At 39.0% G+C, this 16,703-nt stretch overlaps 1 protein-coding gene across 10 annotated transcripts in view, besides 1 other annotated feature; it reads left to right on the top strand.

The window, feature by feature from the left end:
* Window positions 1–16,703, top strand: part of DRC11 (dynein regulatory complex subunit 11) — a 200,792-nt gene that overhangs the window by 60,075 nt on the left and 124,014 nt on the right. For all 10 annotated transcript variants that reach the window (XR_007081589.1, NR_073043.2, NM_001270584.2 and 7 more), the window contains exon 7: window positions 6,278–6,362. Coding sequence is in view for 8 of the 10 variants with exons in the window: in NM_001270584.2 (NP_001257513.1) it covers window positions 6,278–6,362 (85 nt within the window). In the remaining 2 variants the exon portion in view is untranslated. The remainder of the gene's footprint in view (window positions 1–6,277; window positions 6,363–16,703) is intronic.
* Window positions 6,299–7,498: an enhancer, noted in NCBI's record as "P300/CBP strongly-dependent group 1 enhancer chr2:237348547-237349746 (GRCh37/hg19 assembly coordinates)". NCBI's record gives its function as "activates an origin of replication core promoter dependent on BRD2, BRD4, P300/CBP, MED14 and CDK7 cofactors, with strong dependence on P300/CBP, by STARR-seq in HCT116 cells {active_cell/tissue: HCT116}" and the evidence as "EXISTENCE:reporter gene assay evidence [ECO:0000049][PMID:35650434]".

Genomic DNA, 16,703 nt, shown 5'->3' with positions numbered 1-16,703 from the left:
CAGGTCTCTCTCCTCGCCAGCTCCCAGCGTCTCTTCACAGCATCTTCCCTTCATTTCTTCTTCTCACGAGGACACCAGCCCTACTGGATGGGGCCCTCCTACTCCAGCATGACCGCGTCTCTGCCAGTTCCTTCTGCAGTGATTCTGTTTCCAACCTGGTCGCATCCTGAGGTATTGGCAGCTTGGACGTCTGCATGTGACTATGAGGGGGCAGGGGATGCAGCACAGCCCATCATCCCTTGTGAGAGCTACTTTAATGGAGACAGGTCCCATGAAGAGTTCTTGAAGAGCCAGGCTGGGAAGGAGACAGAGATGAGAGAGTCACTGGAGGAGGCTGGGAGCTCAGGAAGCTGCGTGTTTGTTAAATGAGTGAGACCTGAGCATCCTGCAGATCTACGGGGGAGTGTCTGATTGGGATGAGGCACAGAAGGAGGAGAGGGTCCCCAGGAGCATGAGGTGGGAGATGCCAAGGGCCCAAGAGACCCCACGCCCAGCAGCCGCAGTCAGGGGAAGTGGCAAGACAGGTCCGAGGTGGACGAATCAGCTCTTGAAGGTGGTGGCTCCCCTCTGCCCTCTCCCTGGGACACATGGGCAGACAGTGCCTGAGGCCTGAGGAGTGTGTGGCTGGCAGTGCCTGTCCAGGGCCTGGAGCCCAGCATTTTGCGATTCCAGTTGTTTGAATGCTGTGGGTGCCCACACCGTGTGGCAGCCCTAAGCACAGAAGAGGGTTTTCCAGGCATTCGGCCTGTGGGTCCCAGGCACCACGGTTGGTGAACATGTGTGTCCAAGCATCCAAAGGACAGCCTGTGCCTCTCCAGGGGCCTGAGACCCTGAGAAAACAAAGACAGGGTAAGTGCCCATTAGGGCAAGAGGGCGGCTCAGAGGAATCAGGTTCCACAAAAAGCAGAGACTTTGGTTTCCACTTTTAACCAAGAGAACCGTCTTCCTGACGCCCTGTAATTTGGGGTCCTGAGTTACTCCTGGGGAAGTCCCCAGATGGGCTGTCACCTGCAGTCAGTGCCTCGGACCCCATCTGTTTGCACCAGAAACATCATGGGAGCCAAATATTTTCCATTCACTGGTCTGTGATCATCTGCCCTCTCCCCTCTGAAGGTTTTACACCTCGTGTAGCGTGCTGAGCCCAAAGCATAAAGCACTCATCACCTCGCAGCTTCCTTACGATTAACAACAGGAGCGGGACCGACTGTGCCTTGATTCTGAGGAGGCTCAGTCGGGATGTGTCAGGATGAGTTCCTGTTTGTGCCCCAGGACACAGCTGAAAATCGAGGGAGGGAGAAATCCAACAGCCAAGGTGGTAAAGTCTCAGGAATATAAAATAGAACTCATAACTGTCTCTCTTAACATGCTCTAAGTGGCCAAGTCACAGGGAAGGGGCCAAGAAGAGACAGTCAGTGCAAAGCCAGGGGACCCTGGGAGTATCGCACAGCAGGGGTCCAAGCTCTGTGGGAACAGAGGCCTTCTAGCCACCCACGGGAGGGACAGATGGAGTGCAGTGAGCAAGAAAGGGATAGTGCACACCCATCTGTTTGCACAAGCATGTGTGGGTGTGTCTGTGTATGTGTGATAAGAGCTATCAGGCACATTGTCACTTTCTAGATACAAATTTTATATTTTTAATGTGTACCCTACAACAGTTTTTTTTTCATTCTTTAAGGATAAGACTAATTAAATTTCAGATTATGACTAATTATATAAACTAACATGACAAAGGAAAACTAAATATGTTCATCTATTAAAAATAGCCCAGGCGGAGTGGCTCACACCCATAATCCGAGCACTTTGGGAGGCTGGGGTAGGCGGATCACCTGAGGTCGGGAGTTTGAGACCAGCCTGGCCAGCATGGTGAAGCCCTATCTCTACAAAAAATACAAAAAAAAAAAAGTAGTCAAGCATGGTGGTGCATACCTGTAGTCCCAGCTACTCGGGAGGCTGAGGCATGAGAATCATTTGAACCCAGAAGGCAGAGGTTGCAGTGAGCCAATATTGCGCCACTGCACTCCAGCCTGGGCGACAGAGCAAGACTCTGTCTAAAATTAAATAAATAAATAATATATTTAATATTATCTTTGCCAAAAGCACCATGATAATGTAATATTATTAAATCTTAGTATGACAGTCGATGTGTTCCATAATTAAGAATTCCACGTTAGAAATGATGTATGTAAATTCTTTTTGCTTTTTCATATGTCACTAAGTTTGTTTTGAGTCCTCAAAAACACTCAAGCTTTACAATACGAAAATAAAATTATGCAATGAGGTTCCTTGTAAAAGTGGTTATTGAAGGAATAACGTGAGTGGGACTGAAGAAAACAGTGCTGTCATTTTGACTCCTAATGTATTCATGGTTTCTCTCTAAGCCCCGTCCAGGCTGGGCGATGCACGGGTCTGTGGCGGAGCGTGGTCAGTTTAACAAGGTTTCAGACATGAGTCTTGTGGACAGGCACCACCTGGGGCCCAATATCCACACTGGCCATATGATTGTGGAATGTGAGCTGCGTGAGGGCAACCTCTGCCATCTTTGAATGTCAGATCTCTGTCTCCCATCACTGCATCTAGAATCCAGTTGGGACTAGACAGATATTTGTTGGTTGACTATATGAATGAAAGGTTTGATGGATGGAGGAGTGAATAAGTGAGTGATCCCACCAAAGTAACTCCTGTGTAGAGAAAGAGAATCAGGTTCTGTTTGGCCCCAGAGGGCAGCTCAGTGGTCCAGGGAGTGAGATGACAGTTCAGTGTCAGAAAGTATCCGGAAGTGGATGGGCTACCTTGGGGGAGTGAGCTCACCATCATGGGAAACATTTCAGCAGTGGCCAAGGGAATGGCTCTCAAAGTGTGTCCCAGGTCCCCAGGGTGCCTGGCTCTCAAAGTGTGTCCCAGGACCCCTGGGGGCCTTCAAGATCTGTTCAGGGAATCCAAAAGCCAAACTGCTTTCAAATGAATACCAAGACATTGCGTGCTATTTTTGCTTTGTTGACATTGGCACCAATGGTACAATAGTAGCAGAGAATCAAGCCAGCAGCTCCAGCAGTAAACACTGTAGTCTTCACTGCCATACACCTGCCTTTAAAAATAATTTTATTTAATCTAGGCAATACCATTCAAGACATAGGCATAGGCAAAGATTTCATGATGAAAACGCCAAAGGCGATTGCAACAAAAGCAAAAATTGACAAATGGGATCTAATTAAACTAAAGAGTTTCTGCACAGCAGAAGAAACTATCATCAGAGTGAACAGACAACCTACAGAATGGGAGAAAATTTTTGCAATCTATATATCTGACAAAGGTCTAATATCCAGAGTCTACAAGGAACTTAAACAAATATACATGAAAAAAAACAACCCCATTAAAAAGTGGGCAAAAGACATGAACAGACACTTCTCAAAAAAAAAAAAAAATTCATGTGGCCAACAAATATGTCAAAACAAGCTCAACATCACTGATCATTGGAGAAATGCAAATCAAAATCACGAGATACCATCTCACGCCAGTCAGAATGGTGATTATAAAAGAGTCTGGAAACAACAGGTGCTGGCAAGGTTGCAGAGAAAAGGGAATGTGGAAGGAAATTATGGAAGACTGTGACGATTCCTCAAAGATCTAGAGGCAGAAATACCATTTGACCTAGCAATCCCATTACTGGGTATATAGCCAAAGGAGTAAAAATAATTCTATTATACAGATATCTGCACGCATATGTTCATTGCAGCACCATTCACAATAGCAAAGACATGGAATCAACTCAAATGCCCATCAATAATAGACTGGATAAAGAAAATGTGGTACATATACACCATGGAATATTAAAGGAATGAGATCATGTCCTTTGCAGGGACATGGATGGAGCTGGAAGCCGTTATCCTCAGTAAACTAATGCAGGAACAGAAAACCAAACACTGCATGTTCTCACTTATATGTGGGAGCTGAACAGTGAGAACAGTGAGAACCCTGTGTCCCCCACAGACACATGGAGGGGAACAACACACATGGGATCAACATACGTGGACACATGGGGAGGGCCTGTTGGGGCAGGGGTGTTGCGGGGAGGGAGAGCATCAGGAAGAATAGCTAATGGACTCTGGGCTTAATACTAAGGTGATGGGTGGATCTGTGCAGCAAACCACCAAGGCACACATCTACCTACGTAACAAACCTGCACATCCTGCTCATGTACCCCACAACTTAAAATTATTATTTTTCCTTCGACTTTTATTTTATTTGACAATGTTCTTGAGGATGCAGTAAAAAATAATATTATTCAGACTTGACCCTTGAAACACATAGCTTTTTAACGTTCTATGTGACAAAATCAGCAGTGCTTATAAATCCCTTCTGCTGCATACCAAAACGTGAAGATTGTCTCCAAGAAACACCTGTGAGGGGGTTAAGGCTCAGACTGAACCAGCCATTTCTTAATGGAACATCATCTTTCCCTTGAGAAAACAACTGACAAACTCTGGACTTTGGGTTTTGGGGAGACTTTTCCTCAAAAGTGAATCAGATGAACCTGAAGAAGAACAAACCGTCAACAACAGTTGTTGCCAATGGTAAAATTTGAACCTTCCAGAAAAAAATATGATTTTGGAAAATTTGTATTCACTCCTATGAGTTGGAGAGGTTCCCATGACTTAGACCTTCCATTATAAGATCTGTAGTGTTATTAATTAATGTGCTTTTCAATATGATGAAATGTATCAACTGTGGGAACACCCACATAATTCTGCAAAGCATCGTTTTCCAGTGACCGAGACCTGAGGACAAAAAATCATGCATGGATAAAAGGTCTATTCCAGGCACGAGACAAATCCATGGATTTTCATGTGACAGATAGGGGGAAAGTTCATTGATATGGGTTCAGATTCCACATCACAGCTAGCCTGTAGGAAGCTACCAGTTGTCTAGCTGTGGTGTAGTATCAAAGCAGAATATTCACAGTTAGCTAAAAGGGCTATTAAAATACTTCTTGTTCTATGTACTCTTCCATTTGAGGCCAGATTTTCTTCCTATACTTCAACCAAAACAAAAGATTTCCACAGACTGAGTGCAGAAACAGATATAAGCATCCGGTTAATTGCCATTCAGCCAGACACAAAAGAGACTTGAAAAGATGCAAAGCTGTGACACTCTTCTCGCTAGTTTTTTCTTTTAGTTTTGGAAAATATATTTATTATCCATAAAATGTTATTTATGTTAACATATAATGAGCTTACTTTATTTTTAAATTAACTAAAATATATATTTTATACATTTCTAAGCTTTAATTATTTGTTTATTTTGGAGATAGGATCTTGTTCTATCACCCAGTCTGGAGTGCACTGGTGTAGTCATGGCTCACTTCAGCCTCAAATTCCTGGACTCAAGTGATCCTCCCACCTCAGCCTTCCAAAGTGTTGGGATTATAGGCGTGAAACACTGCGCCCAGCCAGATTTAATATTTAACACAGTAAATTATTGATAGCTGTAAGTCATCTAGCAAAAACTCTTTGGGATCCTCAAAAATTAATAAGAATATAAAGGGCTTCTGAGGCCAAAAGTTTGGGAACCAGTTTTTTAAGGGCCATTTTAAACATGGTGGTCACCTCTAAACCTCAGATTCTGTACTTCTGTGAATTAATGGAACTAACTTGGCAGATAGTCTTACGTACAATAAATATAACATTCATGTCAAAGTCAACTTCTTTTAAGAATACTATCTGTCTACCCCTTCTGAAATTCTCAACATTAAATTTCAAAGTCTGCTTTATTAAAATGTAGAAATTATGTGATTATGGAAAAATAATACTATTTGCAACCCATAAAACATAGGGCCTCAGATTTAACTAAAACCTAAAGCATGGGTGTATATTTCACAATTATTACTAACTGTGTAATTTCCACAACTCCATCCTTCGTTTAGTTTGAAATCCTGTGTTTATCCTCAATTTTAAACAGGAAGAAATTATTTGTGCTTCTGTCTTCATTCTTAAACACAGAGCATCTCAACATTAAAAAAAAAAAGGAGGAAAAAAAGTACAATATGTTTTAAAGAGAGATGTTTGCATCAGACTAACAATTCTCTAGAGGAAGGAAACCTGCTACTGAATGTAATCAGTACCTTCAGTTTCTTCAAGACACCATGCCCAGCCCTTGATCTACAGGGAACCCTCCACCCTTAATGACCATCACTCATTTAAATGAACATAAGCAAATAAATGGGGTATATAACAAGAGAGGACTTCATTTCCATTTTAATTTGCTATTTTTTTTCCTGCAGAAATTTAACCGGGACATTTCCTGACTACCCTGACGTTGAAGAAGGAGGGTCAGCTATTATTTTTTCTGACAAGACCATACAACAGGTACAAATATGCTTGAGAAATAAAATGTAAATATATCAAATGACATTTCTTTAAACTTTAAAATTAATGAGTTTATAGCGTTATTAGGTCTTGGTTATTTTCCTACAAATATTTACATGGAAATACTTTTGGGTGTTCATCATTGTACACACTTTCATATTTATTCAAAATGAGTTCATTTTTTTTTCCCGTCTTACCTTTGAAAGAGATGTGATGATGTGTGAAGGTCGTTTTCTTAGTAAATTCTGAGTAGCTTGGCTGCAGGAGCCCTTTGTGTTCTGGTCCCAGCTTCCCTCTCCCCTCATCTCCAAGCCCCACCTCCTCAGCAGGCCCTTGGCTCCAGCAGCCTACTCACCTGTGCTTCTGGCTCATGCCACTGCTCCTTTGGGTGTGCCATGCTCTTCCTGAGTTCTGGGTGCCTTTCTGCTTAGCTCCTGCTCCGCTGTCAAGACCCAGCTCCTTGCCTTTTTTCGAGTGAAACACCTTTGATCATCTCTATAGATGCTTCAGTGGCATTTGATGAAATTGACATTTAAAACTATTTTTTTAATGTCTTCATAAACTAGGAATAGGAAAACTCTTCTTAGCTTCACAGTATTTAGCATAGAAACCAAGAGAAGATTTGCATTATACTCAATGATGAGGCATTAGAGGCATTGTCAAAATGAAAATCAATAAGGGCAATTTGTCTTATCTCCTGAGTAAAATTTTCCCCAACTGCCCACAACCTGGGTGACTAACCCTTCCTCTAAAGCCCTGCGCTATTAACATCATTCATTTGACATTTACCCTACGCTACTTCACATGGACACCTTTCTTTTAATGTAGGGGGCCTTCAAACATACAGCATTTTATTTGAATTTCTATTAAACTGGTTCACCATTTACAAGCTTGTATCATAACATTCATGTGCATGCTTTATCTCTTCCTTAGCCTGTCAACTTCTCAAGAGGAAGGACTTTTAATTTGCATATATAAACATTCAACAAATATTTGCTGAACAAAAGAACAGAAGGCTTATCTTCTCCATGAGATTATAAACCTTCTGAGGGCAAGAACCATATTTTACGATTCTTTAAAATCACAGAATTGAGTGCATAGTAAGTGCTCAATATTTATTTAGTTTTTCTTAATAATGATAATACTAGTTTTACAGCCATGAGAACATAGTCTCTAATTTTTTAAATTAAATTAAAAACGTTTTCTTTTTTAAGGAAATAAAATTGTTAGGTTAAATCTGTTGGAAAAAAATGTCAAGATCAAGAAAGAATAGTTGCTATCAGAACGATTGGTGAATATTTCCCTGGACATTATAAAAAATGCCAAACAAATAAGAAAAAGGAAAGAAGTGATAAATATTTTAAAGTGATAATTTTATCATTGTTTTAAGATCATGATGTAATTATCTCCCTAGGAAACCCAATACATTTAACAAGAAATTATATTGACAAATTATACAGGATTGTACAGAATTACACTGACAAAATCTCACTGAAGAAAATGAAAGAAGACTTGAATGATAGACTGAACAATTATTTATCTGGATAAAAAGACTCAATAAAGTACAAATACACACTATCTTTTTATTATTCTATGAAGTTAATGCAATTCCAATTAAAATCAAAACAAGTTTTTATTGACATAATTATTTTCAAGTATCTGAAGAATGAATGCATGGAAATATCCCAAAAGTTTTTTTAAAAAACTATAATAGTCTGCTAGAGGTCTATCAATTTTGTTGATCCTTTCAAAAAAACAGCTCCTGGATTCATTAATGTTTTGAAGGGTTTTTTGTGTCTCTATTTCCTTCAGTTCTGCTCTGATTTTAGTTATTTCTTGCCTTCTGCTAGCTTTTGAATGTGTTTGCTCTTGCTTTTCTAGTTCTTTTAATTGTGATGTTAGGGTGTCAATTTTGGATCTTTCCTGCTTTCTCTTGTGGGCATTTACTGCTATAAATTTCCCTCTACACACTGCTTTGAATGCGTCCCAGAGATTCTGGTATGTTGTGTCTTTGTTCTCGTTGGTTTCAAAGAACATCTTTATTTCTGCCTTCATTTCGTTATGTACCCAGTAGTCATTCAGGAGCAGGTTGTTCAGTTTCCATGTAGTTGAGCGGTTTTGAGTGAGATTCTTAATCCTGAGTTCTAGTTTGATTGCACTGTGGTCTGAGAGATAGTTTGTTATAATTTCTGTTCTTTTACGTTCGCTGAGGAGAGCTTTACTTCCCAGTATGTGGTCAATTTTGGAATAGGTGTGGTGTGGTGCTGAAAAAAATGTATATTCTGTTGATTTGGGGTGGAGAGTTCTGTAGATGTCTATTAGGTCCGCTTGGTGCAGAGCTGAGTTCAATTCCTGGGTATCCTTGTTAACTTACAAGGGATGTGAAGGACCTCTTCAAGGAGAACTATAAACCACTGCTCAAGGAAATAAAAGAGGATACAAACAAATGGAAGAACATTCCATGCTCATGGGTAGGAAGAATCAATATCGTGAAAATGGCCATACTGCCCAAAGTAATTTACAGATTCAATGCCATCCCCATCAAGCTACCAATGACTTTCTTCACAGAATTGGAAAAAACTACTTTAAAGTTCATATGGAACCAAAAAAGAGCCCACATCGCCAAGTCAATCCTAAGCCAAAAGAACAAAGCTGGAGGCATCACGCTACCTGACTTCAAACTATACTACAAGGCTACAGTAACCAAAACAGCATGGTACTGGTACCAAAACAGAGATATAGATCAATGGAACAGAACAGAGCCCTCAGAAATAACGCCGCATATCTACAACTATCTGATCTTTGACAAACCTGAGAAAAACAAGCAATGGGGAAAGGATTCCCTTTTTAATAAATGGTGCTGGGAAAACTGGCTAGCCATATGTAGAAAGCTGAAACTGGATCCCTTCCTTACACCTTATACAAAAATCAATTCAAGATGGATTAAAGACTTAAACGTTAGATCTAAAACCATAAAAACCCTAGAAGAAAACCTAGGCATTACCATTCAGGACATAGGCATGGGCAAGGACTTCATGTCTAAAACACCAAAAGCAATGGCAACCAAAGCCAAAATTGACAAATGGGATCTAATTAAACTAAAGAGCTTCTGCACAGCAAAAGAAACTACCACCAGAGTGAACAGGCAACCTACAAAATGGGAGAAAATTTTCGCAACCTACTCATCTGACAAAGGGCTAATATCCAGAATCTACAATGAACTCAAACAAATTTACAAGAAAAAAACAAACGACCCCATCAAAAAGTGGGCAAAGGATATGAACAGACACTTCTCAAAAGAAGACATTTATGCAGCCAAAAAACACATGAAAAAATGCTCAGCATCACTGGCCATCAGAGAAATGCAAATCAAAACCACAATGAGATACCATCTCACACCAGTTAGAATGGCAATCATTAAAAAGTCAGGCAACAACAGGTGCTGGAGAGGATGTGGAGAAATAGGAACACTTTTACACTGTTGGTGGGACTGTAAACTAGTTCAACCATTGTGGAAGTCAGTGTGGCGATGCCTCAGGGATCTAGAACTAGAAATACCATTTGACCCAGCCATCCCATTACTGGGTATATACCCAAAGGACTATAAATCATGCTGCTATAAAGATACATGCACACGTATGTTTATTGTGGCATTATTCACAATAGCAAAGACTTGGAACCAACCCAAATGTCCAACAATGATAGACTGGATTAAGAAAATGTGGCACATATACACCATGGAATACTATGCAGCCATAAAAAATGATGAGTTCATGTCCTTTGTAGGGACATGGATGAAATTGGAAATCATCATTCTCAGTAAACTATCGCAAGAACAAAAAACCAAACACCGCATATTCTCACTCATAGGTGGGAATTGAACAATGAGAACACATGGACAGAGGAAGGGGAACATCACACTCTGGGGACTGTTGTGGGGTGGGGGGAGGGGGGAGGGATAGCATTGGGAGATATACCTAATGCTAGATGATGAGTTAGTGGGTGCAGCACACCAGCATGGCACATGTATACATATGTAACTAACCTGCACATTGTGCACATGTCCCCTAAAATTTAAAGTATAATAATAATAAATTTTTAAAAAAGCTATAATAGGGAACTTTCCATATTGATATAAAACAAATTATAAAGATATAAAGTAGCCAAAATACCACAATGTTGGAAAATGAATAGACAGATAACAACAAAAATAACAGATAACATTTGTTGGACAAATATTCTGTGCCAGGTACCATGCAAGCACTTTATATAAGTCAACTCATTTAATTCTTCCAAACTATGAAGATCAAAAATTTGGCCAAATTAGTTGTGGAGCTGAGGTTCATACTCAAGGAGTCTGACTTTAAAATAGTGTGCTCAGAAACTTAGTCAGGTACATATATCAGAATTCAGTAGTATACTGATGACATTCCAAATAAATGGGGAAGGACAGACTAATAAATAATATTATTTAATAAATAATAACTGGCTCACCATTTGGCAAAATCAAGTAGAGCCTTCCTTATTATACAAAACAAATTTCAGATGAATTAAATATTTACATGTAAAAATGTTAAACCACAAATTACTAAAGAAATTGTTTGAATTGGAGAAAAATTTCATAAACATGTCACCATAGGCAAATAACATGAAGAGAATCTGCTCATATACTTAACTACACAAAACTCAAATAGCAAAATGGCCAAAAAAAATCACAAATGAAGTTCAAGGTATATGATAACTGAGGAAAAACATTTGCAACATGTATGACAATGGGTATTTTTCATATATAAATATTTCTCGGAAAATAATAACAAAAATTGGAACACCCTGATAAAAAAGCAAAGAATATAAACAGGAATTTAACACAAGAAAAATTTTTAAAACTCACTGGCAATTACATGTATAAAGTAATGTTGCCATATCTGTTTTCACCTATAGGACTGGTAAAAATTTTAAGTCATTGTAATGACTGGAGTTGGTGTGCATGTGGGAAAAAGTCACTCTCATACATTGCTACTGGATATGTAAATTAGCATGACATTTTTAAGTGACGTGGATCAAACAAATATCAAAACTTTTCATGTGTATGTGCTTTGGCTCATAAATGCTCTTTGAGGAATTTATACTAAATAAATAATAATAACAGAAGTTGTCATAGGCCAGAGGTCAACATCCTTTTTTTGTAAAAGGACAAACAGTAAATATTTTAGGCTGTGGCACATACATTCTCTGCTGGCACTACTCAACTCTACCAATATGGCATTAATATGCTTTGTCTGTATCCCCACCCAAATCTCATCTCAAATCCCCACATGTCAAGGGAGAGACCTGATTGGGGTGGTTTCCCCCAGACTGTTCTTGTGATCCTGAGTTCTCACAAGATCTGATGGTTTTGTAAGGGGGCATTTTCCCCTTTGTGCTCTCTCTTTTTCTCTCTCCTACCACCATGTAAGACATGCTTGCTTTCCCTTCCACCATGATTGTAAGTTTCCCGATGCCTCCCCAGCCATGTGGAACTGTGAGTCAATTAAACCCTTTTTCTTTATAAATTACCCAGTCTCAGGCAGTTCTTTATAGCAATGTGAGAATGGACTAATACCGGCATCAGAGAAGCCATAGACAACATGTAAATGATGGGCATGGCTGTGTTCCAATCACACTTCATTTCAAAAATGGGCAGGCGGCCGGCCAGAGCCGGCCCATGTGCCATAATTTGCTGACCCCTGCCATGGATGCTGTTCACGTCTGCCTTGTTTATTGCATTGACAAAGAAGAAAACAGCCTGATGTTCTTTAACAGGAAATTCGTTAAGTAACATGAAGTTCTCTGCAGCAGTAAAATACAGGCTTTAGCTCGGGGTTTCAGGACTTCAGCATGACTGACCCTGCTGTCAGCCTCCCTGTGTCCCTGTGCTCCCCTCCAAGAGCCCTCAGAGTTAAGCACACAGGAATTGCTCTTTCTTCACTTCTCCATCAGAAACCAGCCTCTGCTCCCAAAGGCTGCCTCAGCCCTCTAGAGGACTCCTCCCTCCTTCACTGAATTCCATGAGCACCAAATATTGACCCTATTATTTGGCAGTTTGTCAAGCCCTGCCTTGAGTGATTGTCATTTTGATTTGGGGTTGTTTCACTTTTTTTATGTGTTTAGGTGTTGTCCCGCCAGCTAAATTGCCAGGCACAAGTTGTGTCTTGAAAGTCCATGGCAAGCATCCAGACACATTTTATGTTCAGTTAGAAAGGTAGCGATTATAGGATTAAGAATGTTGGTAGAACATCTAAATTGCCATGAGAAACATTAAAAAATACTAGTCAAAAGAAAATTGAGAATGTCTGGTTAACACATTGAAAGAGAACAGAGGAGACCACAAAGCAGCTTAGCCTTGAAAGACAGATGATTGAAGAGTCAGAACGGCATGGTGATTACAAATCACAGTTCCCCCACACACTAGACCTGCAACCTTAGACAAGCTTCATCCCCCCACACTCCGATTCAGTTTTCTCATCTATAAATGGAGATTACTAGCAACGTCTACCTCCCTGCACTGAGGTAATAATTAGATGAGACAATACACGTGAGGTACTTAGAACAGAGCTTGGCATATTGAAACCCTTCAGAAAATCGTAGCAGTTGTTACTAACGTTGACAGTAGCAGTAATAGTAGTCATTGTAGTCATAGTATGAATAGAGAATAGGCCAAGCATTGTCATTATAACAATATACATACAAGGTGAAATATATATTAATAAAACAAAAATAATACAAATACTTTTTATGAAACGAGCATAACATTGAATCAAAACCCCCAAAAAAGATTGAACACAAAAAAAGACACAGATCAGTCTCCCTTATGAGTATTAACACAAACATTTTAACTAACGTGTTAGCACACTAAAACCAGCACCACATTAAATTAGTAAAACACCACAAGTGGTGATTATTCCAGGATGCAAGAATGGTTTGGGTTAAGGATGTCTATGAATGCACCGCATCGTATTAAAAAATCCAAAAGGGAAAACCATAAGCTCCTCACTATGGAGGCTGCAAAGGCATTTTACAAATTTAACATCCATTTTTGATATTTAAAAATAGAACTCTACAAAATTGGAATAGATGGATACTTGTTGAACATTATAAAATATTTCTTAATTCAAAACCCAGTGTCATGCTTAAAGAAATTCACTAGAAACATTTCCACTAGTGAGTGTCAGGAAAAATTCAAGAATGGCCATCATCACCACTATTATTTACCATTGTCCTGTAGGAACTACTAAATAATATATCCCCTTTCTAGTGTTCTAAAGGGGAACAGAAGAGGCAAATGATCACCTTTTGCACATATGTTCAATACTTAGAAAAGCAAAGAGAATAAACTAAAGAGCAAAAAAGCAAAGAGAATAAACTAAAAAACTACTTTAAATAATATGAGAAGCAAGATGGGGGGATTACAAAATTAACATGCAGAAAGCAATCGCTGTTGTGCATGCAAACAGTAGCTAGCTAGAAAATGTAATGTAAGAGACCATTTACAACAGCAACAATGCAAAGGTCAAATGCCCAGGAATAAGCTTAATGATAAATGTACATTCTACGTGAAGAAAAGCTTACAACACTCCTGAGGGATGCGAAGAAATGGAAAAGCATATCATGCTCGTAGGTAGGAATGCTCACACCATACATACCTTGACTCCTAAACATCATCTATAGACATAATATGATCCAAATGAAAATACCAATAGCATTATATTGGGGCATTGGCGGGGAGGAGGCAGGGAGGATGACCAAACTAAACTTTAAGTAGAAAGCAAATAACCAAGAATAACCAGTGGAATTCTGAAAATGAAGCATAGTGAGGAGGAACTAGCTTTGCCAGGTATGAAAACATATTCTTAGGAGCCCACTGGCACAGACAAAAGACTAAAAAGGCACATCAATGGAAAAGAACAGAAAATCAAGAAATAGACCCAAATACATACGGAAATTTATAATAAAGACAGCATCTCAAATGTGAAAGGAAAAAAGGAAATAAATGGTATAAGAAGAGCCAGGTTGTCATCTAAGAAAAAAGAAAATTAAATTCCCAAGTCTTTATACTTTACTTTGGAATGATTCCAAAAGGATCAAACACTTACGTATAAAACAAAACAAAACACAAAAGGACTAGAAGAAGCTAAGAAAGAAATATGTCATAACCTCAGAATGGGAAAGATCTTTCTAATTATGATACAAACCCAGAAATCATAGCAGAAAAAAAAATTGATAAATTCAACCACACACACAAAATTGTTTTAATCCTACATGGAAACAATGACCCCTGAGTAAGGGAAATGACAGATGACACCCTGAGAGAATTATTTGTGATGGGTATCACAGACAAGAGTCCTTTCTTCTAATATGTAAGGAACTCCTACAGCTCTACAAGAAAAAGAATAATAACCCAATACAAAAAACAGCAAAAGGATATGAATAGACAGTGCTCAGAAAAGAAAACTCAAATGAATTCGAAACATAATAAAAGATGTTCAACATATGAAAAGATGATCAACCTCACACATATAAGAGAAATGCAAATTAAAACTACACTGACAAACAAAATTGATCAACTGAACCTCAACAAAATGCAAAACTTTTGCACTTCAAAAGATACCATTAAGAAAATGAAGATACAAGTAACAGACTGGGAGAAAATATTTACAGAATACCTACCTGTTAAAGGACTTACAGCCAGAAAATACAGAGTACTCTTACACCTCAATAAGAAGACAAACAATTCAGTCAAAAAACAGGCAAAAGATTTGAACAGACAATTCACAAAGGAAGATGTATGGATGGCTAGTAAGAACATGAAAAGATGTTCAACATTATTCATCATTAGGGTAATGAAAATTAAAATGGAAATGTAATGCTATTTCACACCCATGAGGATGGATACAAAAAAAAAGACAATTACAAATGCTGAAGATGTGGAGAAAAGGGAACCCACATACATTGCTAGTGGGAATGTAAAATGTTGCCACTTTGGAAAACATCATGCCAATTTCTTAAAAAGTTAAACATAAATTTACCAAAGGACCTAGCAATTCTTCTCTTAGGACTCTATCCAACAGAAATGAAAACATATATCCACACAAAAACATTTGTACATGAATGTTCATAGCAGCATTACTCATAATTGCCAAAAATTTGAAACAGCTTAAATACATATCAACTGGGGAATAGATAGGTAAAATATGGTATATCCATGCAACTTTATATTATTTGGCAATTAAAAAGGAACACACAACTGATACATGCTACAACATGGATGAACTTAAAGTGTTATGCCATACTGAAACATTATGCAACATGAAAGAAGCCAGACACTATGGACAATGTATTTTGTTATTCCATTTATATGAAATGTCTAGAAAAAGTAAACCTGTAGACACAGAAAGTAGATTAGTGCTTGCTTGGTGATGTGCTTTGGTTGTGTTCCCACCCAAATCTCAACTTGAATACCAGTTCCCATGTTGCCCATTTGTTGTGGGATGGACCTGTTAGGAGGTAATTGAACCATGCAGGCAGTGACCCTCAGGCTGTTCTCATGACAGTGAGTGAGTTCTCACAAGATTTGATGACTTTATAAGGGGCTTTTCCTCCTTTGCTCGGCACTTCTCTCTCCTGTTGCCATGTGAAGAAGGACGTGTTTGCTTCCCCTTCCACCATGATTGTAAGTTTCCTGAGGCCTTCCCAGCCATGTGGAACTGTGAGTCAAGTAAACCTCTTTACTTTATAAATTACTCAGTGTTGGATATTTCTTCATACCAGCATGAGAATGGACTAATACACCTGGGAAGGAGAGAGAAAAGGGATTAGCAGTTAATGGAAATGAGAGAATCTTATTGGGGTGATAGAAATGTTCTAAAACTGATTTGTGGTAGTGGAACACAACTTGATATACTTGCTGAAAAATTATTGAATTGCACACTTGAAATGGGTGAGTATATGATATGCTTCAATAAAATTATATTTTGAAAAGAGAAAACAGGCACCAGGCCAGATTTGGCCCTGAGCCCAAAAAAATGATGGCTGACTTAATAGCCAGTAAAGTGCACTTTTAACTTCGGAAGATTTTGCTCAAGTTGATGAGCAGGAGCAAAATAAATTCAATATTGGCTTCTTGAAAAAACAAAAGCGACTACATTTTCCACCCATGCAACTGGCAAACAAGATGCACTGTGACAACAAGCATATGGGGAAACAGGCCACTCCTACACTGCTGGCAGAAGGGTAAATTGACACAACCCATGGTGGGAAGTTTAACAGTATTACAAATGTGCATACACTTGATCCAGCATTTCC

This window comes from Homo sapiens, chromosome 2 (genome assembly GCF_000001405.40).
Source record: "Homo sapiens chromosome 2, GRCh38.p14 Primary Assembly".
NCBI lineage: Eukaryota > Metazoa > Chordata > Mammalia > Primates > Hominidae > Homo > Homo sapiens.
The sequence above is the reverse complement of the archived record's forward strand: the minus strand, read 5'-3'. Positions and strand labels throughout refer to the sequence as shown.